Source organism: Homo sapiens, chromosome 4, assembly GCF_000001405.40.
Source record: "Homo sapiens chromosome 4, GRCh38.p14 Primary Assembly".
Lineage (NCBI taxonomy): Eukaryota > Metazoa > Chordata > Mammalia > Primates > Hominidae > Homo > Homo sapiens.
The window spans coordinates 83,285,164-83,310,300 of record NC_000004.12 but is presented as its reverse complement, the minus strand read 5'-3'; the positions used below and the strand labels follow the sequence as shown (position 1 = coordinate 83,310,300).

The window sequence follows — 25,137 nt, the reverse complement described above, 5'->3', positions numbered from 1 at the left end:
ATACATGATTTACCAAAAAAAGGAAATTTTGACGGGTTCAGAATATCAAGGGATCTGAGGCAAATGTCACCTATGATAAAATTTGCTATCAAAATTAGGAAGTTTGTGTTTACCTGATCCTAAAGCAGTAACCAGCCCATTTCTAGGGAATAAAACTCTCATGCGTATATTGTGCATATATATGTATTATATGACTGAGTGATAATAAAATTTTTTTTCTAGCTTCCTGAAGGCTGGTGGAGAAGTGATTGATTCAGTTACATGGCATCAGTAAGTATGTCTCCTATTCTTAATACTAGGAAAGTAAGGCTAGCTTTATTTATTACCTAGTATTCAAAAAGTTAGTTCATTTAACTGCCAATTGACTGCAGTTCAAATAAGAAACAAATAGTGTCTCAAGTAGCACTGTACTCCAATTTTAATATTAATAAAAAAAATTTAAAGTTATTTTAAATAATGTAGTGGTTTCTATAAAGATCACTTTATACAGAAGAACAGTGCCAATTAACCCATGGAACATATAAGTAGCTAAAACCAATTGCTTGCCAAAGAACCAGTAACCCAGGAGTACATGTACTTGCCACTGTGTTTTTTCAAGACAGAGTAACTGATTTCTAGTTACTTGCATAGAATGGACTCCTCCTCATAACTCCCTTCCATCTTGGTCTTTCCCTAGTAGAACTTCTACCTTTTTTTAGTAACAGGTGAGTGGGAGAGGTAAGAAGGAGAATAAGGTCAGCAATTAACCTAAAAGCAGAAAGTAAAATTTGTTATTTTTTTTCTGAATATTTTCTGTGTAATTTAGCTACTATTTGAATGGACGGACTGCTACCAAGGAAGATTTTCTAAACCCTGATGTATTGGACATTTTTATTTCATCTGTGCAAAAAGTTTTCCAGGTAATAGTCTTTTTAAACTTTTTAATGTAAAACCAGAATCCTTATTTTATAGTCTAGCTAGTTCTAAATTCTATAGGTATGTATATTTACATGTTTTTCTAATTTTAGAGAACAAGCACTATGACTTATCCACTGTTAGTTTTCCCCTTAGCATTGGGTCTTACCCCATGTACGTGATTAGAAATTTGAAATATTTCCAATAGCCTTTAGTAGAATTAACTCACATAGATGATAAGAATGGGTTGGTTCACTTCATGTTCCTTCCACAGCCTACTATTTCAATAAAAGAAAGTTTCCCAAGACCTAAATGACTATGAACATATTTTATAACTATATAGGAGGGGTGGGTCTAGGAATACAAAGTTTTGAATGCTGTTAATCTTCAACACCACAGTTGAAACCACAGGTCAGCTTTTTTGCAATTACCATGGATACTTTTCTGTTCTATAGGTGGTTGAGAGCACCAGGCCTGGCAAGAAGGTCTGGTTAGGAGAAACAAGCTCTGCATATGGAGGCGGAGCGCCCTTGCTATCCGACACCTTTGCAGCTGGCTTTATGTGAGTGAAGCAGCGCTGGCCTTAGGGGTCAGAGTGCAGCTCTTCTCCATCCTTCTATTCTGCTGAAATAGCTCCCCAGCCAAAAAGCAGATCAAAGACCATTTCAGTGGCTGAGCCCCAAAATTCATGCCAGATTTTGCAAGAAAATGATTTACTAAAGCTTGAGGGACATCTTTAACAAGTGTTCCAAATTAATCACTATAAGGATGAATTGTTTCAGAAATTTTGGCCTTTAATTATGGCCCATAAATATGTCAAGTAGTCCTTACTCTAAAGAAGTACACTGTAAAAGAATGCATATAGCCGGATATGGTAGTTCCCTGTAATCCCAATACTTTGGGAGGCCAAGGTGGGAGGATTGCTTGAGCCCAGGAGTTTGAGGCTGCAGTGAGTTATGATGGTGCCACTGCACTCTAGACTGGGCAACAGAGTGAGACTGTCTTTTTTTTTCCCCTCTGTCACCCAGACTGGAGGGCAGTGGCACGATCTCACCTCACTGCAACCTCTGCCTCCCGGATTGAAGCGATTCTCCTGCCTCAGCGTCCTGAGTAGCTGGGACTACAGGAGTATCACCGCACTGGGCTAATTTTTGTATTTTTAGTAGAGACGGGGTTTTGACATGTTGCCCAGGCTGGTCTGAAACCCGTGAGCTCAAGTGATCTGCCTACCTCAGCCTTCCAAAATGCTGGGATTACGGACATGAGCCACCACGCCCGGCCACACCCTGTCTCTTAAAAAAAAAAAAAAATGCAAGTTAGAGCATATTACAGCTTTGTCTCTCAGGAGGATACTTAGTGTATGTAGCTATAATTCATAGATTCCCAAGAAGTTTAGAGCCTAAAGTATGAGGTCCCACCAGAGGGGCTATCATTAAATTTAAAGATTTGTTAAATCATCTCATTGTCCAACACCACAAACTTGATTGCTTTAAAATACTGGTTTAGTTACATTTAGTAACTCTATTAGTGCTTTTAATCTATACTGCTATATCCTCACATTGAGATTTTTTTTCTTTTCTCTTCCATCTTCATTCTTTTTTCTCTCATCCTCATTCTTATAAGCCTAGAATACATCACAAATCCTTTATGCCCATGGAAGCAAGAGGAATAAAGAATGGAGATGTTTGTTTTGCCATTAACTAAAGATCTGGGGTGTCGGGGAGAAGGGGGATAGAGAAGGAGAAGTGGGAAGAGGTGTCCATAATAGCTTAGGTGCAATTCTGCTTATTTTACATTTTACCCCCGCTGACTGCCACTTTTTCTTCAGCCCTCACACATTGTTTGTGCAGGGACCTCATAGGACCAGGAATTGTCTATAGAGGTGGGAATTTGTCTCACCCTGAAAGGGATACCTCTAGCATGGTAATAGTCTTCTAGGATTTGTTATCATATGGAAAGATGTAAAGGGAGGGATTCTGCTGCTGCTGCTGCTGCTGCATGCAGTTGCCATTTCATTTAAATGACTTATTTATAATTGATGACACTTTTCTGGCTTCCTGTTAATTCCTCCCTCAAAGATCAATAAACCAGAACCAGGCATGGTGGCATGCACTTGTGGTCCTGTAACCACCCAACAGGTTCACCTTGCCTGCTGTCTAGATAGAGCCAATTATCAAGACAGGGGAATTGCAAAGGAGAAAGAGTAATTTATGCAGAGCCAGCTGTGCAGGAGACCAGAGTTTTATTATTACTCAAATCAGTCTCCCCGAACATTCGAGGATCAGAGCTTTTAAGGATAATTTGGCCGGTAGGGGCTTAGGAAGTGGAGAGTGCTGGTTGGTCAGGTTGGAGATGGAATCACAGGGAGTGGAAGTGAGGTTTTCTTGCTGTCTTCTGTTCCTGGATGGGATGGCAGAACTGGTTGGGCCAGATTACCGGTCTGGGTGGTCTCAAATGATCCACCCAGTTCAGGGTCTGCAAGATATCTCAAGCACTGATCTTAGGTTTTACAACAGTGATGTTATCCCCAGGAACAATTTGGGGAGGTTCAGACTCTTGGAGCCAGAGGCTGCATTATCCCTAAACCGTAATCTCTAATGTTGTAGCTAATTTGTTAGTCCTGCAAAGGTAGACTTGTCCCCAGGCAAGAAGGGGGTCTTTTCAGAAAAGGGCTATTATCATTTTTGTTTCAGAGTCAAACCATGAACTGAATTTCTTCCCAAAGTTAGTTCAGCCTACACCCAGGAATGAAGAAGGACAGCTTAAAGGTTAGAAGCAAGATGGAGTCAATGAGGTCTGATCTCTTTCACTGTCATAATTTCCTCAGTTATAATTTTTGCAAAGGCGGTTTCAGTCCCAGCTACTTGGGAGGCTGAGACAGGAGGATTAATGGAGCCCAGGAGTTTGAGGTTGCAGAGAGCTATGATCACGCCACTGCACTCCAGCCTGGGTGACAGAGTGAGACCCTGTCTCTAAATAAATAAATAAGTAAATAAATAAATACATAAATAAAATCAAGATGGTGTGCAATTAGAATTGAGCGATTTTGTTTCCAAACCTCAAGAAAGCTTGGTCTTGCTCTGTCCCAGGTGGCTGGATAAATTGGGCCTGTCAGCCCGAATGGGAATAGAAGTGGTGATGAGGCAAGTATTCTTTGGAGCAGGAAACTACCATTTAGTGGATGAAAACTTCGATCCTTTACCTGTAAGTGACCATTATTTTCCTAATTCTAGTGGAGTAGATTAAAGTCAACTCAGGACCTCTGGTGTTAACCTCCTATGAACAGTCAGTCCTCTCAGTAACTAGCCAAATCATGAGATGATGAATTAGAAGGAGCCTTAGATAGCATCCAATCTAACATTTTTTTGTGTGTTTGAAGAGAAGAAATCAAGAGCTAGGAATAACTTTTTAAAGGTAAGCCATTTGCAGTATAGTGTGGATTTTGTTTAAAAGGGGATAATTTGAAATTTTATGACTCATTATACAAGACAAAATAAGTTGGATTTTCAAATGTTTTACAAAGTAAATCAAAGTTATAATTGCCTACAGTACGCAAAGCTTCAAAACATTTTTTATGTTATGAAATTGTAATTTATTTAACCTTAAAATGAGCCAGTACCATGTGTTTGCTTAAAAATCTCATGCTAAGAATTTACTATGTTGTTAATAATCTTCAAGATATTTATGAATAAAGTCTTATTTCTAATCCTTCCTCCAACTGTATCTGGTGCTAAATCAGGAAATGTTTCTTCCCAAAAAGCCTCGTGGAAGATCTGTATGTCTAAATATATGTCAGGGATAATACAGATGTAGCCCTGAGAAGCATGACCTTGATTTTTATAGTCTAAAATGTCATTTGCAGATATATATTTTCTAAGAATAATTCCTAAAAGAATTATTTGAATGTTGTAGGAAAGCTAAGAAATTTTGCAAAGAGCGTACGTGAAAATATAAGCTAGGCTTTTGTGGTTTGTGGATAGACTTCCCAACAAAATTGCTTTTTATCTATAGTGATCCAAGCTTGTGGAACATATTAGTCATCTTTTTTTAGAAAATTCTTAGAAAAGTGATCTTGCAAAAATGGAATTTATCTTTCCCCAAGTATATTCTGTCATGTATAGAGTTAAACTAAGCATAGTAATTTCACCAGACAAACATTCAAAATCTACTCCTGACCTTTTTATCTCATCCAAATTTTCCCAGGGCCCAGACATAAACCTTTGCCTTACGAACTCTTTGTATATGCACTAAATATGCTTCTCCTTCAAGGTTCTCAGTCAGCTAGAAAAATGTGCAAGAGTAAATGGTACCCTTCTCACTTGTAGATCCAAGAGAATTAGACTTAAACTCACTCTACATGTCTGTGACTTTATTTTATTTGCATGACAGTCCTGTGAGGTGGCAAGGCAGGTATCTTGGATCCATTTTTTAGATAAGGAAGTTCAAATTGAGAAGAGGTTGCATGATTTACAGGAAGCCATACTGTAGTCCTATGTTACTCTTAAAAATCCCATTCAAATCCTGCTTCTGAGGCCTGCATACTTTCTACCCTACCAGTCATTGACCCATGCTTATGTCTCCTTTGAAAACATTGATTCCACTCTTGTCTCCAGTGAAAAAGTGGAATTTAAGCAGAGAAACAAAAGCCATTTGTCTTGTTAAGTCTACTTTCCCTCTACTTTCAAGAAGGAAAGTTGGGGTATGTGTTGAATGGTGATTTATTTATTTATTTATTATTTTAAAAATTGATACAAGGTCTTACTGTATTGTGCAGGCTGGTCTCAAACTCCTGGGCTCAAGTGATCATCCCACCTCAGCCTCCCAGTGTTGGGATTACAGCATGAACCATTGTGCCCACCACCGATCCGCAGTTTTTTAAGAAAAACTTTTACTATAGAAAATTTTAATCATATACAAAATACAGAGGAAAGTATATGAACCCACTTTAGGAGACTAGAATATGCCACCCCAAAATATGCCACTTTGGCATAAGGATTATTTCGAGCTAAAGGCAACTGGGAAGAAACACATAGAAGAAAAGTTCTCTGTCCTTCTCCATTTGCCTAAAAGCAGGACATGAATCTTAAAAGTCCCCCTCCTTCCCTTTCTACCAGGAAAAACAAGAGTTAATCACTGAAGATAACTTCAGACCCTTATCAGTGTAGAGATGGCACTAGAAGAATCTATATTACATACTCATTTATTTTCCTTCCCACAACTTGCCACCCCAGAGACTAAAAATCCTTTTCCTTTGTCATGTCTCTTGTCCAAAAATTTGCTCTATAAGCTGGAGTTCTAAGCCACCTCTTTGAGAATTACTTGTTCCCTGGTATTTTCTGTTAACATACATGTATTAATATACATGTTAACAAGCTTCTGTTTGTTTTCTCCTGTTTTCTGTCTTGTTACAGAGGTCCATCCCAACTAAGAACTAAAGAGTAGGAGGAAAATATAATTTCCTCCTGCATACTTTGATCTTGTTTAATCCGTAATCCTTCCCACTTTTCACCTCCTACCTATTAGATTACTTTGAAGCAAATTTCAGATATATTACTTTATCTATAAATATTTCAGTATGTGCTAGGTGTGGTGGCTCACACCTGTAATCCCAACACTTTGGGAAGCTGAGGCAGGAGGATCACTTGAGCCCAGGAGTTCAAGACCAGCTACGGCAACAAAAAATCAAAAACTTATCTGGGCATGGTGGCACATGCCTGTGGTCCCAGCTACATGAGAGGCTGAGGCAGGAGGATCGCTTTAGCCCAGGAGGTTGAGGCTGCAGTAAGCTGCATTCACACCACTGCACTCCAGCCTGGGTGACAGAGTAAGACCATGTCTCAAAAAAATACATATTTTAGTATGTATCCTTTTTGTAAAAACACAATACTTTTATCATACTTTAAATAATAACAATAATTCCTTAGTATCACCAAATATTTTGTCAGTGTCTCACATTTTCCTTGTCTAAAATATTGTTGATAGTTATTCAAATCAGAATCCAAACAAGGTCCATATATTACATTTGGTTGATAAGTCTCTTAAGTTTGTTCATCTTTAAGTTATTCCTCCCTCTCTTTCATCTCTTGTAATTTATTAATGTGAAAAAACAGGTAATTTGTTCTATAGTATTTCCTACATTATAGAGTTTGCTAAATTTATTCCCTATGATATCATTTAGCATGTTCCTCTGTCCCCTGTGTTTCCTGTAAACTGGTAGTTATACCTAGAAGCTTGAGTTTATTCAGGTTTTTAATTGTATTTTTTTGCAAGAATTCTTTATTATCTGCTTCTGGAAGCACAGAATGTCTGGTTGTGTCTGGTTTTGATCTTGACAGCTACTGATGACCATTGCCTAATCCATTACTTTATTGGGGTGGGGGGAATAAGGTTTTAAAATAAATTTTTTTTTAAGATTTTTTTAACTGTTATTTTGAGACAGTGTCTCATTTCGTTTCCCAGGCTGGAGTGCAGTGGCACAATCACGGCTCACTGCAGCCTTGACCTCCTGGGATCAGGTGATCTTCTCACCTCAGCCTCCTGGGTACCTGGAACTACAGGTGCACACCACCACACCTGGCTAATTTTTTGTATTTTGTGTACAGAAGGGGTTTCATCATGTTTCCCAGACTGGTCTTGAACTCCTGGGTTCAAGTGATCTACCCACTTCAGCTTCCCAAAATCCTGGGATTACACTTTGGCCACCGTGCCTGGCCTAAATGAAATTATTTGTCTCTAAACAGACAGAAGTTTTACTTTAAAAATTTGTCTTTGTGTGTACATGTGTTTGTGTATGTGTGTGTGTCTAAAAGTTTGGCTTTGAGCTTTGCTTTGAATTCTTGGATGAACGATAACCAAGAATACTTAAACTCTGATCATTCTTGACAGATATCCCCTACAGGCTATGGCCTTTTGAATTGTGTCCTCCAGTGATAAAAAGCAGCAAGCACGATACTGCTCTCAGATTCATGGTGGTCACATGTGAGGGGAAAAAAAAAAAAAAGATGAATCCTATTTAAATGCCCCCAGGATAACAGTGATACTCTTTGTAGGATAACTATTTGCTTGCCACTGGTTTCATTAAATAAGGACATAAGTAAACATCTATTTTTGTCTCTTTCTCCCCAACCACCACAACTAGGATTATTGGCTATCTCTTCTGTTCAAGAAATTGGTGGGCACCAAGGTGTTAATGGCAAGCGTGCAAGGTTCAAAGAGAAGGAAGCTTCGAGTATACCTTCATTGCACAAACACTGACAAGTAAGTATGAAACACACCCTTTACCAATCATCAAGTTTTAGTGGGTAAGCCTGTAACTTTACTCAAACACCCTGTTGCATGTGTCTATACATTGCATAAGTATAGGCAGTTGCAATTTAGTAAAGTTTTATACAACGATTTTATTTTATTTTATTTTTAGAAGAAAAATGCTACTTTTGTTGTTGTTGTTTTTTGAGACGGGGCCTCGCTCGTCACCCAGGCTGGAGTGCAGTGGTGCAATCTCAGCTCACTGCAACCTCCGCCTCCCGGGTTCAAGTGATTCTTGAAGAGGAGAACAATAATAACAACAATATTATTTTCAAAAGTTGTGACCGCAGTTTCTGGAGTTGAGAAGACATCGAGATTTTTGTAGCCTCATACTCTTGCTTTAGGTAGCAAAAAATGTTCCTAAATCTCAGGAATATTCTCTAGATAGGTTTCAATCTATCATTCCTGATAAGATGATGCTGAAATACTAATTCTAGCCAAAAAAGACCAGCTACCATTTCCGATTGTTGGTGACTGGGAACTCTGGATAGTGAGGACCCCAGTAGGAAGTAGCGAGGGGAATGGTTTGAATGGATAAATTCATAAAAAATGTCAGTAGATTTAATTTTCTTATACATTTCAGTCTTTTTATAAGGCTAGGAAAAGCCCCTGTTTTTATGGTTTATAATTTGAATTCACATGAACCCACAAAATTTGCCTTTTACCTTCCTATGTCTGAAAATGGATAGTCTGGCTGGCCTCTTAACAACCCAGCTGGCAGAGCTGTGAGGATCTCAGTGTGCTCTAGCCCAGACATTGGTAGCATGAACGGCAACATTTTTAATTGTGTTTTCAAAATAGGAGCACACTAGCGGTCTAAAACGATCATAAAAGAAGGATACTAAGAGGGCCCACTGTCATTATGGATCCTAATACTTAGGATGCATTATGGATTGTCATTATGGATACTAATACTTAGGATCACATTTGTAATTGAGTTTTTAATTGCTTAAATTAGATACATATTTCTATTAAGTTAACCTCTTTGCTTTTAGTCCAAGGTATAAAGAAGGAGATTTAACTCTGTATGCCATAAACCTCCATAATGTCACCAAGTACTTGCGGTTACCCTATCCTTTTTCTAACAAGCAAGTGGATAAATACCTTCTAAGACCTTTGGGACCTCATGGATTACTTTCCAAGTAAGTAATTTTCCTTGTTCATTCCAAACTTTCAATAAATTTATTGGTGTTTATCAGAATAGAGAGTTTGGACAGGGAGCAAAAGACAAAGTCAACTATATCAAGTTCTAATAATTCTTTTTTTTTTTTTTTTTTTTTTTTTTTTGAGACGGAGTCTCGCTCTGTCGCCCAGGCTGGAGTGCAGTGGCGGGATCTCGGCTCACTGCAAGCTCCGCCTCCCGGGTTCACGCCATTCTCCTGCCTCAGCCTCCCAAGTAGCTGGGACTACAGGCGCCCGCCACTACGCCCGGCTAATTTTTTGTATTTTTAGTAGAGACGGGGTTTCACCGTTTTAGCCCGGATGGGTCTCGATCTCCTGACCTCGTGATCTGCCCGCCTCGTCCTCCCAAAGTGTAATAATTCTTAATATTCAGGAAATTTATGTATGAATACTTACTAATATGAGTATAACTCACCCTAAGAGTCTAAAGCAAAAGGATGTGAACACAAACTAGCAGTTATCTTAGAGAATAAGTTTGCATTTCAAAATAACTTGACATATCAAGATCCACTCAACGCATTTAAATTATTTACTCTAAAAAGACATAATTCTTGGTAACACATTCACTAAAGCAAAATATACCTTTATATAATTGCTATCAAAGGTATGTGGGTTGGTATAAAATATCATACCATGTGAGATCAGTGTGATTCTTTTACAGCATTAATTTTTATTGGTTAGAGTAAGAAAAAGAATAGCTAGAGTATACTTCTTAAGTAGATTCTCATACACTTTGGTTTCAAAAACCAATTATTGACTACATCTTATAAAAGCCTGTATTCAATGGAGTGCCAAAAAATGACTATGAGTCTTGAAGAGTTAGGCATATAAATATTTTAAGGTTTCTGTTCAATGTATGTTGGAAGGAGTTCCTTTCTCATGACTATTCTCATATTGGAGCATAAAAAGAGTTTACAGGCTTGGCGCAGTGGCTCATGCCTGTAATCCCAACACTTTGGGAAGCTGAAGCAGGCAGATCACTTCAGCCCAGGAGTTTGAGACCAGCCTGGGCAATATGGCAAAACTCTCTCTACAAAATATACCAAAATTAGCCAGGCGTGGTGGTGCATGCCTGTAGTCCCAGCTACTTGGGAAGCTGAGGTGGGAGGATTGCTTGAGCCCAGGGGGGTCATGGCTGCAGTGAGCTGTGATGGTGCCTCTGTCACCCAGCCTGGGTGACAGAGTGAGACCCTGTCTCAAAAAAATAAATAAATAAAAATTAAGAGTTTACAAAATTCTCACCATCTCCTCCCATCTTTGCAAATGCCACATAAGTGATGTGTTCCAGGACTATTAGCCTCGGAACCTGAGGCAGTACAGTAAGCACGCTTTCTCCAAAGTCCTGTCCCCCACAGACAAACATTATTTACACTGGGTACTGCTCTTTTATTTTTTCCCCTCTATGCTTTATTTTACTATAACTATAATCATATAACATGTAATAGGAAAAAGGCAGGGTCAGGGGAGAGATCCAGAAGTCTTCCCAAGAGCCTTTCCAACATAGCCTCTGTAGACATTTTCTCTTTCTTCTTTTTTTTTTTTTTTTTTTTTTTTTTGAGACAGAGTCTCACTCTGTTGTCCAGGCTAGAGTGCAGTGGCATGATCTAGGCTCACTGCAACCTCCGCCTCCTGGGTTCAAGCAATTCTCCCACCTCAGCCTCCCTAGTAGCTGGGATTAGAGGCATGCATCACCACGCCTGGCTAATTTTTGTATTTTTAGTAGAGATGAGGTTTCACCATGTGGGCCAGGCTGGTCTTGAACTCCTGACCTCAAGTGATCCACCTGCCTTAGCCTCCCAAAGTGCTAGGATTACACGAGTGAGCCACCGTGCCCTGCCCCTATTACATTCTGATCACACATTTCATGTTTTATAATTGGAAAACTGGTGAAATTATAGACAATGTTTTGTTCCCCTAAATTCTCTTTGATGAGTATATATTACTTACACTCTTCTGTCTTTAAAATTTTGCAAAATAGTATCCTAGATAAGTTTTTGAGTGCACAGTCTGTACGCTTACTCATATTAATGACCTCGGAGAGTTAAACAACAGTCACCTTTAAAAATTATTACTATCATTATCATTATTTTTGAGGCGGGGGTCTCATTCTGTCTCCCAGGCTGGAGAGTAGTGGTGCGGTCACAGCTCACTGCAGCCACCGCTACCTGGGCTCAAGTGATCCTTCCTCCTCAGCCTTCTGAGTAGCTGAGACCACAGGCTTATGCTACCACACCTGGCTAATTTTTTAACTTTTTGTAGAGACGATGTCTCATTATGTTGCCCAGGCTGGTCTCAAACTCCTAAGCTCAAGTGATCTTCCTCAGCCTCCCAAAGTGCTGGGATTACAGGCATGAAAAACTGCACCCAGCCCTAAAAATTATTAGGGTCCTGCATAGTAAGACTTTAATAAATATTTAAATGAACATCTGTTTTTTTTTAAAAAAAAATAGAGACAAGGTCTCACTATATTGCCCAAGCTGGTCTTGAACTCCTGGACTCACGCAATCCTGCTGCCTTAGCCGCCCAAAGTGCTGGGATTACAGGCATGACCCACCTCATCTGGGCTGAGTGAACATATTTTTAACATAAAGGCCGTATTTTATATTTATCTCATACATTTTGCCCAGCATCCCCATTTCCGCCGAATCTGTTGCTTGCTAATTCCTTCCAGCTTCATTTCATCTGAAATTTGACAAACATCTTCTATTTCTTTGTCGTCATGTTATTGACTTCAGAATATAAAATAAAACACTATACCCAAATTAAACCCCACCCTCATTGCCCAGCCTGATGTGAAAATAATCAGCATACATTAAGCTTACCCTTGATATATGTGTAGCATCTTTTAGATAAATATACAGCTGATTAAGCAATATAGCCTGATGGTATAATATCTTGCCCATGTACCTCATCTTATCTCCAGCAGGATTAATTCACAGTGATCAGATTTACCTTTAAACTTTGTAGCAAAATATCCTCTCCAAAAGCATATCTAAAACTTTTGTGTGTACTCTTGCAAGTTTCTTAATTTCATGCAGAACAGGCTCTTACCACTGTTAGCTGGAGATATTTTCAAGACCTATTTTTGTTTGTGGTTTCCTGATGATGGTCATGGCATTTCCCCCTTCACTCCATCTAAAAATTGAGGTGATACAGGCTTTTAAACAAAACCAACTCATATAGACTGAGTACAACTGCAATGCAGGCATGCTAACCTCTGCTACAATCATGGGCGTGCTATTGATATGTCTTAAGTTACAGAACACAGGGCTGAGCGTCTCATTAGGTCAAAATGTAAACCAGTTTTTCTGCTCACTGATGCTTAATGAGGACAGGGTGTGAGAGATTTCTTTAAGGAAAACAAATATATAATAATGCTACATGGAAAAATATCTAACATTAGAGAATTAAGTAAATAAACTAATATACTCACACCATGGAATCTTGTGCAGACATTAAAATTATGTAGTGGATGGATGTTTAATGGTGTGAGAAAAAGTTAGGATGTGCTGGGGTGGGGGGAAGAATCAAGTTTTAAGAAAATACAGTATACCCATACTTAAGTAAAAAAAAAAAAAAAGGTATGTACAGTCATGTGTTGCTTAATGATGGGGATACATTCCGAGAAATGTGTCGATAGGTGATTTCATCCTTGTGTGAACATCATAGAGTGAACTTACACAAACCTAGATGGTCTAGCCTACTATGTATCTAGGCTATATGACTAGCCTGTTGCTCCTAGGCTACAAACCTGTAAAGCATGTTACTGTAGCGAATATACAAATACTTAACACAATGGCAAGCTATCATTGTGTTAAGTAGTTGTGTATCTAAACATATCTAAAACATAGAAAACTAATGTGTTGTGCTACAATGTTACAATGACTATGACATTGCTAGGCAATAGGAATTATAATTTTATCATTTTATGGAACCACACTTATATATGCGGTCCATGGTGGACCAAAACATCCTTATGTGGCATATGACTGTATACATGTACACAAAAAATAGATGAAAGAATGAATATACATCAAAATATTTAAAATGGTTATAATGACTTAGGTTACTTTTATTTATCTTAGTAATAATAATGATGATAGATAATACTTTTATAGTGTTTACTATATAAAAGACACTGTTATAAGTGTTCTACATACTTTACATGTATTACCTAAATGATATAAATATAACTCTGACAGTAACTAATCTTATACGTTCTCTTTTCTTTTTTTTTTTTTTCTTTTTTTAGACAGAATCTTGCTCTACCAGGCTGGAGTGCAGTGGTGCAATCTCGGCTCACTGCAACCTCCGCCTCCCAGGTTCAAACGATTCTCATGTCTCAGCCTCCTGAGTAGCTGGGACTACAGGCACACACCACCATGCCCGGCTAATTTTTGTATTTTTGGGTAGAGATGGAGTTTTGCCATGTTGGCCAGGCTGATCTTGAACTCCTGGCCTCAAGTGATCTGCCTGCCTCAGCCTCCCAAAGTGCTGGGATTACAGGTGTGAACCACTGTGCTCGGCCTAATCTTACAAGTTTTCAATATTTAAAGAGTGCTAACTTTGTTGACAATATAAAACATATTTGAGAAAAAGAGATATAAGCATCTTATTTAGAATTATGAAAATATCAATAGACCTACAGCCGACTAAAGCTTTTCTTCATAAGCTCTTGCCTATATTGATTCGCTCCTGTGAATATGCATTAATTTGATTTAAATAATAAGTATGTATAAGAAATAACACTTTTCCTTAATTTTTAAGAACGTTCAACAGTTTTTAATTTGAATTCCAATAGTGAAATACATAGAAAATATAAAATTTTCTGTAGTTTAGCCAAATTGTTTTTGTTTCACCACAGCATTCTACCAAAATTTCTTAATAACAGTAAGAAAATGAATGCATACCTCCTGCAGGGAGAGGGGAGTTAGGCAGTTTATGGGCATAGTTACAAGTGAGAAATTTCATTGGCTACCATTTATGCTAAATTCATAAAAACTGCATTCAATTCTATATATCTATTTTCTTTACATAAAAAAGGTTTCAATTATTGGCCATTAAATAAAATAGCCACCATTCCAGAAGTTGTGTCATGTTTATCCTTTTTATACCACCATCATATTGCCTAGTATATAGATTGTGTGTGTTCCATTTTCTGTAATGGGCCAGACAGTAAGTATTTCTGGCTTTGGAGTCCATATGGTCTCTATCATAACTACTCATCCCTGCCATTGTAGCTTAAAGATTATCTAGGTCAAATGCCTAAGTGATATAGTGTTGAAATACAAGTTATATAATATAGGCTGCCACAAAAAAAAATTTATTTGGTCTAAAAAAGATTTCATGACTTTTGTAGCAGCATGGGTGGGGCATGCACCACTTGGTTAACTCGGTGTATCTTTCTCCTTTGCAGATCTGTCCAACTCAATGGTCTAACTCTAAAGATGGTGGATGATCAAACCTTGCCACCTTTAATGGAAAAACCTCTCCGGCCAGGAAGTTCACTGGGCTTGCCAGCTTTCTCATATAGTTTTTTTGTGATAAGAAATGCCAAAGTTGCTGCTTGCATCTGAAAATAAAATATACTAGTCCTGACACTGAATTTTTCAAGTATACTAAGAGTAAAGCAACTCAAGTTATAGGAAAGGAAGCAGATACCTTGCAAAGCAACTAGTGGGTGCTTGAGAGACACTGGGACACTGTCAGTGCTAGATTTAGCACAGTATTTTGATCTCGCTAGGTAGAACACTGCTAATAATAATAGCTAATAATACCTTGTTCCAAATACTGCTTAGCATTTTGCATGTTTTACTTTTATCTAAAGTTTTGTTTTGTTTTATTATTTATTTATTTATTTATTTTGAGACAGAATCTCTCTCTGTCACCCAGGCTGGAGTGCCATGGTGCGATCTTGGCTCACTGCAACTTTAAGCAATTCTCCTGCCTCAGCTTCCTGAGTAGCTGGGATTATAGGCGTGTGCCACCACGCCCAGCTACTTTCTATATTTTTTGTAGAGATGGAGTTTCGCCATATTGGCCAAGCTGGTCTCGAACTCCTGTCCTCGAACTCCTGTCCTCAAGTGATCCACCCGCCTCAGCCTCTCAAAGTGCTGGGATTACAGGTGTGAGCCACCACACCCAGCAGTGTTTTATTTTTGAGACAGGGTATCATTCTGTTGCCCAGGCTTGAGTGCAGTGGTGCAATCATAGATCACTGCAGCCTTTTAACTCCTGGGCTCAAGTCATCCTCCTGCTTAGCCTCCCAAGTAGCTAGGACCACAGACACATGCCATCACACTTGGCTATTTTTAAAAAATTTTTTGTAGAGATGGGGTCTCGCTATGTTACCCAAACTGGTCCTGAACTCCTGGACTCAATTGATCCTCCCACCTTGGCCTTCCAGGTGCTGGGATTTCTTTGGGAGTACAGCATGGTACAGCAGGAGATCATTTGATGTTACCTCTGTGCAGTGTTGCTAGTCAGCGAAAGACTATAATACCTGTGGGGACAGCGATTAGCCACCACAACCAGTCTTTATTTAAAGTTATTAAAAATGGCTGGGCGCAGTGGCTCACACCTGTAATCCTAGCACTTTGGGAGGCCGAGGCAGATGGATCACCTGACGTGAGGAATTTGATACCAGCCTGGCCAACATGGTGAAACCCCATCTCTACTAAAAAATACAAAAATTAGCTGGGTGTGGTCCTGTAGTCCCAGCTACTTGGGAGGCTGGGGCAGGAGAATTACTTGAACCCAGGAGGCAGAGGTTGCAGTGAGCCGAGATTGTGCCACTGCACTCCAGCCTGGGTGACAGAGAGAGATTCCATCTCAAAAAAACAAGTTATTAAAAATGTATATGAATGCTCCTAATATGGTCAGGAAGCAAGGAAGCGAAGGATATATTATGAGTTTTAAGAAGGTGCTTAGCTGTATATTTATCTTTCAAAATGTATTAGAAGATTTTAGAATTCTTTCCTTCATGTGCCATCTCTACAGGCACCCATCAGAAAAAGCATACTGCCGTTACCGTGAAACTGGTTGTAAAAGAGAAACTATCTATTTGCACCTTAAAAGACAGCTAGATTTTGCTGATTTTCTTCTTTCGGTTTTCTTTGTCAGCAATAATATGTGAGAGGACAGATTGTTAGATATGATAGTATAAAAAATGGTTAATGACAATTCAGAGGCGAGGAGATTCTGTAAACTTAAAATTACTATAAATGAAATTGATTTGTCAAGAGGATAAATTTTAGAAAACACCCAATACCTTATAACTGTCTGTTAATGCTTGCTTTTTCTCTACCTTTCTTCCTTGTTTCAGTTGGGAAGCTTTTGGCTGCAAGTAACAGAAACTCCTAATTCAAATGGCTTAAGCAATAAGGAAATGTATATTCCCACATAACTAGACGTTCAAACAGGCCAGGCTCCAGCACTTCAGTACGTCACCAGGGATCTGGGTTCTTCCCAGCTCTCTGCTCTGCCATCTTTAGCGCTGGCTTCATTCTCAGACTCTGGTAGCATGATGGCTGTAGCTGTTTCATGGGCCCCTTCAAACCTCATAGCAACCAGAGGAAGAAAATGAGCCATTTTTTGAGTCTCCTTCATAGACTTGAATAACTCTTTTTCAGAGCTTCTCACAGCAAACCTCTCCTCATGTCTCCTCATGTCTTATTGTTCAGAAATGGGTAATGTGGCCATTTCACCAGTCACTGCCAACAACAACGAGGTTCCTATAATTGTCTCTGAGTAACCCTTTGGAATGGAGAGGGTGTTGGTCAGTCTACAAACTGAACACTGCAGTTCTGCGCTTTTTACCAGTGAAAAAATGTAATTATTTTCCCCTCTTAAGGATTAATATTCTTCAAATGTATGCCTGTTATGGATATAGTATCTTTAAAATTTTTTATTTTAATAGCTTTAGGGGTACACACTTTTTGCTTACAGGGGTGAATTGTGTAGTGGTGAAGACTCGGCTTTTAATGTACTTGTCACCTGAGTGATGTACATTGTACCCAATAGGTAATTTTTCATCCATTACCCTCCTTCCGCCCTCTTCCCTTCTGAGTCTCCAACATCCCTTATACCACTGTGTATGTTCTTGTGTACCTACAGCTAAGCTTCCACTTATAAGTGAGAACATGCAGTATTTGGTTTTCCATTCCTGAGTTACTTCCCTTAGGATAACAGCCCCCAGTTCCGTCCAAGTTGCTGCAAAATACATTATTCTTCTTTATGGCTGAGTAATAGTCCATGGTACATATATACCACATTTTCTTTATCCACTTATCAGTTGATGGACACTTAGGTTAATTCCATTCAATTTCATTCAATTTAAGTATATTTGTAAGGAGCTAAAGCTGAAAATTAAATTTTAGATCTTTCAATACTCTTAAATTTTATATGTAAGTGGTTTTTATATTTTCACATTTGAAATAAAGTAATTTTTATAATCTTGATATTGTATGACTATTCTTTTAGTAATGTAAAGCCTACAGACTCCTACATTTGGAAGCCTTGTTTTCCTTCACTGCTTTGTTTATACCTGGAAACAGGATATAGAACCACTAGTGTGTTGTTTCACCCCTTGTTATACTATCAGGATCAGAAGTGGGGGTTTTCCAATGCACAGTCTGAGACAAGGACTTGGGTCAGGTGGGTTATTTGGGAATAAGGAATGAAAGAACAGGGAGTGTGAGAGGGAAGTGAAGAAAAAACCAATATTAATTTTTGCTGTTGAGTTTGCTGCTGTGGGCAATGAGCGTTCAGTTCCACCAGCACTACCAAGAATTGTAGGGGATGCCTCCCAAAATTTGTCTCTTATTATTCTCTTATTTCTCATCAGCTATCATTTTATAGTCACATTATTGTCAATTACAATTTCTACAAAGAACACCAGTTTCACATAAAATTATTTTAAGGCCGGAAGCAATTATAGTTAATGATTGTATTTGTTAAGCTTGAAAGTCACTTTAACGTCTCATTTGGGAGTCAAACGATAAATATTTTCTTTTCTATTCTCTCTTTTTTTGAGAAAGGGTCTCACTCTGTCACCCAGTCTGGAGTGCAGTGGTATGGCATGCTCATGGCTCACTGCAGCCTAGGCCTCCTGGGCTCAACCCACCTCAGCCTCCCTAGTAGCTGGGACTACAAGTGCATGCCACCATGCATTTTTGTATTTTTTGTAAAGACAGTGTTTTGATATGTTGCTCAGGCTGGTCTTGAACTCCATGGCTCAAGTGATCTGCCTGCCTCAGCCTCCCATAGTATTGGGATTACAGGCATAAGCCACCACACCTGACCAATAAATATTGTTTAAACCTAAAACACCTTCTCTAGGGCCAACCACAAAAATCAGATGAAACATAGTAGAGACGAAAAATATGAATGTAGAAGTGCTTCAAACATGTAAATCTGCTAAAATGAAGGGTACATGTAAAGTGGAATGAATGTTCTGGTTGACGCACCATTTAAACAAATATTTGTGGGATGAATGAATTTATTCTCCATCCACTAGGTGCAACATTTCTGCATTAGCGTTCTCTAGAGAAGAGAAACAGTACCAATAGGATATATATAAAGATATAAAGAGTTTTTTTTTTTTTTTTTTTGGAGACAGAGTCTTGCTCTGTCACCCAGGCTGGAGTGCAGTGGCGTAATCTCGGCTCACTGCAAGCTCTGCCTCCCGGGTTCACACCATTCTCCTGCCTCAGCCTCCCCAGTAGCTGGGACTACAGGCGTCCGCCACCAAGCCCGGCTAATTTTTTTGTATTTTTAGTAGAGATGGGGTTTCACCATGTTAGCCAGGATGGTCTCAATCTCCTGACCTGGTGATCCGCCCACCTCAGCCTCCCAAAGTGCTGGGATTACAGGTGTGAGTCACTGCGCCCAGCTGATTTATTTTAAGGAATTAGTTCAAGCAATTATGGAGGCTGCTGAATCCAAAATCTGCAGGGTAGGCTAGCTGGCAGGCTGGAGACCCAGGAAAGGACCGATGTTGCAGTTGAAGTCCAAGTCCAAAGGCCATTTGCTGGGAGAATTCCTTCTTGCCTGAGGTAGGTCAGTCTTTTGTTCTATTCAGGCCTTCAGCAGATTGGATGAAGCCCACCCACATTATGGAGGGCAATCTGCTTTACTCAAAATCCGCCAATTTAAATGTTAATTTCATCCTAAAACACCCTGTATTAGTCTGCCCTCATGCAGCTAATAAAGACATACTTCAGACTGGGTAATTTATAAAGGAAAGAGCTTTAATTAACTTACAATTCCACATGGCTTGAGAGGCCTCACAATCATGGCAGAAGTTGAAGGAGGAGCAAAGGCACATCTTACATGGTGGCAGGCAAGAGAGCTTGTGCTGGGGAACTCCCCTTTATAAAACCATCAGTTCTCATGAGACGTATTCACTATCATGAGAACAACACAGGAAAGACCCACCCCCATTATTCAATTACCTCCCACTGGGTCCCTCCCACAACACATGGGAATTATGGGAGCTACAGTTCAAGATGAGATTTGGGTGGGGACACAGAAAAACAGTATCATTCCGCCCTTGGCCCCTCCCAAATCTCATGTCCTCACATTTCAAAATCAATCATACCTTCCCACAGTCCTCCAAAGTGTTAACTCATTTCAGCATTAACTCAAAAGTCCACAGTCCAAAGTCTCATCTGAGACAAGGTAAGTCCCTTCCCCCTATGAGCCTATAAAATCAAAAGCAAATTAGTTACTTCCTAGATACAATGGAGGTACAGGCATTGGATAAACACACCTGTTCCAAATGAAAGAAATTGGCCAAAACGAAGGGGCTACAGGTCCCATACAAATCTGAAATCCAGCAGGGCAGCCAAATCTTAAAGCTCCAAAATGATCTCCTTTGACTCCATGTCTTACATCCAGGTCACACTGATGCAAAAGGTGGGTTCCCATGGTCTTGGGCAGCCCCAGCCTGTGGCTTTGCAGGGTGCAGCCCCTCTCCTGACTGCTTTCATGAGCTGGCATTAACTGACTAAAGCTTTTCCAGGTGTGCAATGCAAGCTGTCAGTGTATCTACCATTCTGGGGTCTGAAGGATGGTGGCTCTCTTCTCACAGCTCCACTATGCAGTGCCCCAGTGGGGACTCTGTGTGGGGGTCCACACCACACATTTCCCTTCTGCATTGCCCTAGCAGAAGTTCTCTTATGAGGGCTCTGCCCCTGTAGCAGACCTTTGCCTGGACATCCAGGCATTTCCATACAACCTCTGAAATCTAGGCAGAGGTCCCCAAACATCACTTCTTGACTTCTGTGCGCCCTCAGGCACAACAACACATGTAAGCCACCAAGGTTTGGGGCTCGCACCCTCTGATGCAATGGGTTGAGCTGTACGTTGGCCTCTTTTTGCCACAGCTGGGATGCAGGACACCAAGTCCCAAGACTGCACAAAGCAGCAAGGCCCTGGGCCTGGCCCACAAAACCATTTTTCCTTCCTAGGCCTCCTGGCTTGTGATGGGAGGGGCTGCCATGAAGACCTCTGACATGCCCTGAGACATTTTCCCCATTGTCTTGGTGATTCACATTTGGCTCCTCATTACTTATGCAAATTTCTGCAGCCCCCTTGAATTTCTCCTCAGAAAATGGGTTTTTCCTTTCTATCGTATCATCAGGCTGCAAATTTTCTGAACTTTTATGTTGTGCTTCCCTTTTGAACACAAGTTCCAATTCCAAACCATATCTTTGTGAATACATAAAACTAAATGCTTTTAACAGTACCCAAGTTACCTCTGGAATGCTTTGTTGCTTACAAATTTCTTCTGCCAGATTCCCTAAATCATCTCTTTCAAGTTCAAAGTTTCACAAATCTCTAGGGCAGAGGCAAAATGCCACCAGTCTTTTTGCTAAAATATAGCAAGAGTCACCTTTGCTCTAGTTCCCAAGTTCCTCATCTCCATCTGAGACTACCTCAGCCTGGACTTTACTGTCCATATCACTGTCAGCATTTTGGTCAAAGCCATTCAACAAATCTCTAGGAAGTTCCAAACTTTCCCACATCTTCCTGCCTTCTGAGCCCTCCAAACTGTCTGTTATCCAGTTCCAAAGTTGCTTTCACATTTTCGGGTATCTTTACATCAGCACCCCACTATACCAGTACCAATTTACTGTATTAGTCTGTTCTGATGCTGCTAATAAAGACATACCTGAGACTGAGTAACTTATAAAGGAAAGAGATTTAAGTGACTTACAGTTCCACATGGCTGGGGAGGCATCACAATCATGAAGTTGAAGGAGGAGCAAAGGCACATCTTAACGTGGCAGCAGGCAAGAGAACTTGTGTAGGGGAACTCCCCTTTATAAAACCATCAGATCTTGTGAGACTTGTTCACTATCTTAAGAACAGCATGGGAAAGACCTGTCCCCATGATTCAATTACCTCCCACTGGGTCCCTCCCATGACAGATGGGAATTTATGGAGGCTACAATTCAAAATGAGATTTGGATGGGGACACAGCCAAACCATATCACACCTTCATAGAAACAACCAGAATAATGGTTTACTTGTCTAGTTTTTTTGAGACAGGGTCTTGCTCTGTCACCTAGGCCAGAATGCAGTGGTGTGCACTGCAACCTTGACCGCTCGGGCTCAAGTGATCCTCCTACCTCAGCCTCCTGAGCAGCTGGGACTAAAGGAGTGCACCACCAAGCCCAGCTAATTTTTTTAAAGATTTTTGTAGCGATGAGGTCTCACTTTGTTGCACAGACTGGTCTTGAACTCCTGGGCTCAAGCAATCCTGCCTCAGCTTCCCAAAATGTTGAGATGACAAGTGTAAGCTACCAACCTGAGCTTCATAAGCCTCTTAACTAATATCCCTACTTATCTCACTGCTTGCCTACAGTTTACTCTCAACCCAGTATTGAGAGTAATTATTTAAAATATAAGTCAGTATGAGACAAGAACTATGAGAGGAAAATAAAATAAAATAGAAGTCAGGTCATGTCTCTGTTCTGTTCACAATCCTCCAATGGCTCCCTCTTATTTCACTTAGAGAAAAGCCAAAGTCCTTACCACGGTATGTAAGACCCCACACAACCTGGTCCCTAGTCCTCTCTGCTCTCATCCCTGATCTCTCTCCCTTTTGCTCACTCTACTCTATCCACACTGGCCTCCTTGCTCTTATTAAGAAAACACTTCAAGCTTGCTCCCATCTTAGGGCCCTTGCACTAGACATCCCTCTAAGAGTATCTAGTGATATTCTTCCCTCAGATCTCTCATAGCTACTCCCTTATCTCCTTCAAGTCTTTGAGAAAGTGAGATCAGGGCTGTCCTACCACCCCAATTACCATATTTAAGTATACATACAGCCTGTCCCTACTTTTCCCTGTTACTCTTCTTTTCTCCATACCACTTACCACCTTCGAACATACTGCAAAATCTATTTGATTACCTTTTTCAGTCCTTGTGATGTGGGGAGGGGTTGTCTTGTTTCCAAAGCCTTGTCAGTCATTGTAATTCATTCTTCTGGCCACCATAAAAAAGATGAGAGGTTTATTATTTGTTTTTTTGAGACAGGGTCTCACTCTGTCACCCAGGCTGGAGTGCAGTGGCATGACCATGGCTCACAAAGCCTCAACCTCGGGGGCTCAAGCAATCCTCCCACTTCAGCCTCCCAAGTAGCTGAGACCACAGGCATATGCCATTATTCTCAGCTAATTTTTGAATTTTTAGTAGAGATGAGGTCTCACTATGTTGCCTAGACTGGTCCTGAGTTCCTGGGCTCAAGCAATTCTCTCACCTGGGTCTCTCAAGTGTTGGGATCACAGGTGTGAGCCACAGTGCCTGGCCAGAATAATTTTTGACCAAATGTTTTGGCACTATGGCCTAGCCAAATTGACATGTAAAATTAACCATTTCAGTTCCTGTGGGTAATAGGTTTAAAACAAAATGAGTTCCTGCCCAATCCAAAATGAGGAATTGGCGTTGTGTACATGTACCCTAAAACTTAAAGTATAATAATAATAAAATTTTAAAAAAAAAGAAAGTCACTTCAAAAAAAACAAAAAACAAAATGAGGAATCGGAGCCTTACAGGCCCTTTTAGAGAAAGCCTAGTCCCTTCCTTTTCTGAAGAGTTTGCAGCAGTTAAATGGCTTTCCCAAGGGCATACTGTGCCTTGGCATTAGTCTAGAGGAGACTCCTGAAAGTTAGGGCTCTACTCTATGTGACTGTTCTCTTGTCCTACAAATTAGCAGAGTGACATGTGGGTACCCATCTCAGTTTCCTGTGCACTTTAATTGGACCAAATATCTTAGGATTGAATCACCTCTGGGCAGGGTCAGCATCATGGGTACATGTGCAGTCACCCAGGGCCTACGCTAAGAAGGACCTTGTACTTGGTTTAATGTCCTGCTGTTGCCATCTTGAAATTCTTAATATATTTTTTTAAACAAAGAGTTTGGACCTATATTGGAAAGTCATGGATGCAATACATGACTGATATTACACCCTTTTCAGGTTTGAGTCAGATCTAAATCATCTCCAATCTAACAACTAGGAGTGTTACTAAATTGCCTGCTGGCCTTTATTCTTTGCAGGCAGGAGAAAGGCTAGGTACCCCCTGCCTCATTGCACCAAAGTGGCCAGGCATCCAACTTGCTGTACTTGAGCCATGCAAGAAGTCACAGAATCATTGTACATGTTTTACAGAAAGGAGCCTAAAGACTAAGTCAACTTCCTAGAATATTAAAATCCAGATGAGTGACTTGCCTAGGGTTACTCAGTGAGAGGTTAAATGAGTTGATACATGTAAAGTGCCTGGCACACAGCGATATACAGAGTTGCTTATGAATAAGAGTACTGACCATCTGAGGCAGGAGGATCTCTTTAGCCCAGCTGTTCAAGACCAACCTGGGCAATATAGTGAGACCTCCTCTCTATGAAAAATTAAAAATTAGCCAGCCACGGTGGCTCGTGTCTGTGGTCCCAGATATTTAGAATGCTGAGATGGGAGGATCGATTGAGCCCAAGAGGTGGAGGCTGCAGTGAGCCATGATCCCTCCACTGGTCTCCAGCCTGGATGACAGAGCAAGACTCTGCTGACCAGACTTTTCAGCTTCAGGTTCTTAGCATCACACATGCTGGTTGTCTACTGATTACAAAAACTCCTTTGAAGGGCTGTCAAATTTAAAATTTTCACTTGTGTAATGAACATCCCTTAACCCTGAATGCGATTTTAATTTACAGTCTTGTATGTGGCCACTTGGTGCCCTTTTTTTTTTTTATGGCTAAACGTGTACGCAAATTCTTCTTTTGGATTCAGTAGGTTTTTCAAAGCTTTTTTTTTTTTTTCCTGGTACAACTGTTCCATATGAATAAACACTATCCTTTTCATTTTATGGAGAAAGCTGATAATAGGGTTAAATTATAGGGGGCCATTGTTTTGAACTAAGTTCCTGCACTAGGTCCCAACAGATCAGACTAAGAATCAAGAGTCACCCATGCTAAAGTTCCAAGTCACCAAACTAAAACTAAGTTGTATCTGACATTCTGAGAAGTCAGGAAAGAGAGACAACAGCCAATTTTCCAACCAGGCCATTTCAAAATGCAATCGTCATGACAATTAAGTTTCCTGTTTTAGTCCTTAACCTGGTGTAACCTAATGTTAACCAATCCGTTATTTCTCTGTTGTTGTTTCCCTGTCCCCGCCTCGCAATGAAAGTAATTTGAAGTGACCAATCCGCTTTTTGTTCTCTGCTTCTGCTTTCTTCAGCCCTTTTTCTGTCTA

The 25,137-nt window shown here is 40.0% G+C and overlaps 1 protein-coding gene across 4 annotated transcripts in view, besides 1 other annotated feature; it reads left to right on the top strand.

Moving 5' to 3' along the window:
* HPSE (heparanase) overlaps nucleotides 1-17,840 on the top strand; it is a 42,693-nt gene extending 24,853 nt beyond the window's left edge. For 3 of the 4 annotated variants that reach the window (NM_006665.6, NM_001098540.3, NM_001199830.1), the window contains 7 exons: nucleotides 223-270; nucleotides 806-899; nucleotides 1,350-1,456; nucleotides 3,984-4,098; nucleotides 8,033-8,151; nucleotides 9,195-9,341; nucleotides 14,798-17,840. In NM_006665.6, the coding sequence (NP_006656.2) occupies nucleotides 223-270; nucleotides 806-899; nucleotides 1,350-1,456; nucleotides 3,984-4,098; nucleotides 8,033-8,151; nucleotides 9,195-9,341; nucleotides 14,798-14,957 (790 nt within the window). In that variant the 3' untranslated portion in view covers nucleotides 14,958-17,840. The remainder of the gene's footprint in view (nucleotides 1-222; nucleotides 271-805; nucleotides 900-1,349; nucleotides 1,457-3,983; nucleotides 4,099-8,032; nucleotides 8,152-9,194; nucleotides 9,342-14,797) is intronic. The other variant, NM_001166498.3, reaches the window with a different exon arrangement.
* Nucleotides 20,786-21,286: an enhancer, noted in NCBI's record as "H3K4me1 hESC enhancer chr4:84210168-84210668 (GRCh37/hg19 assembly coordinates)". NCBI's record gives its function as "activates a minimal SCP1, AML or CMV promoter by ChIP-STARR-seq in naive H9 embryonic stem cells {active_cell/tissue: H9 hESC(naive)}" and the evidence as "EXISTENCE:reporter gene assay evidence [ECO:0000049][PMID:30033119]".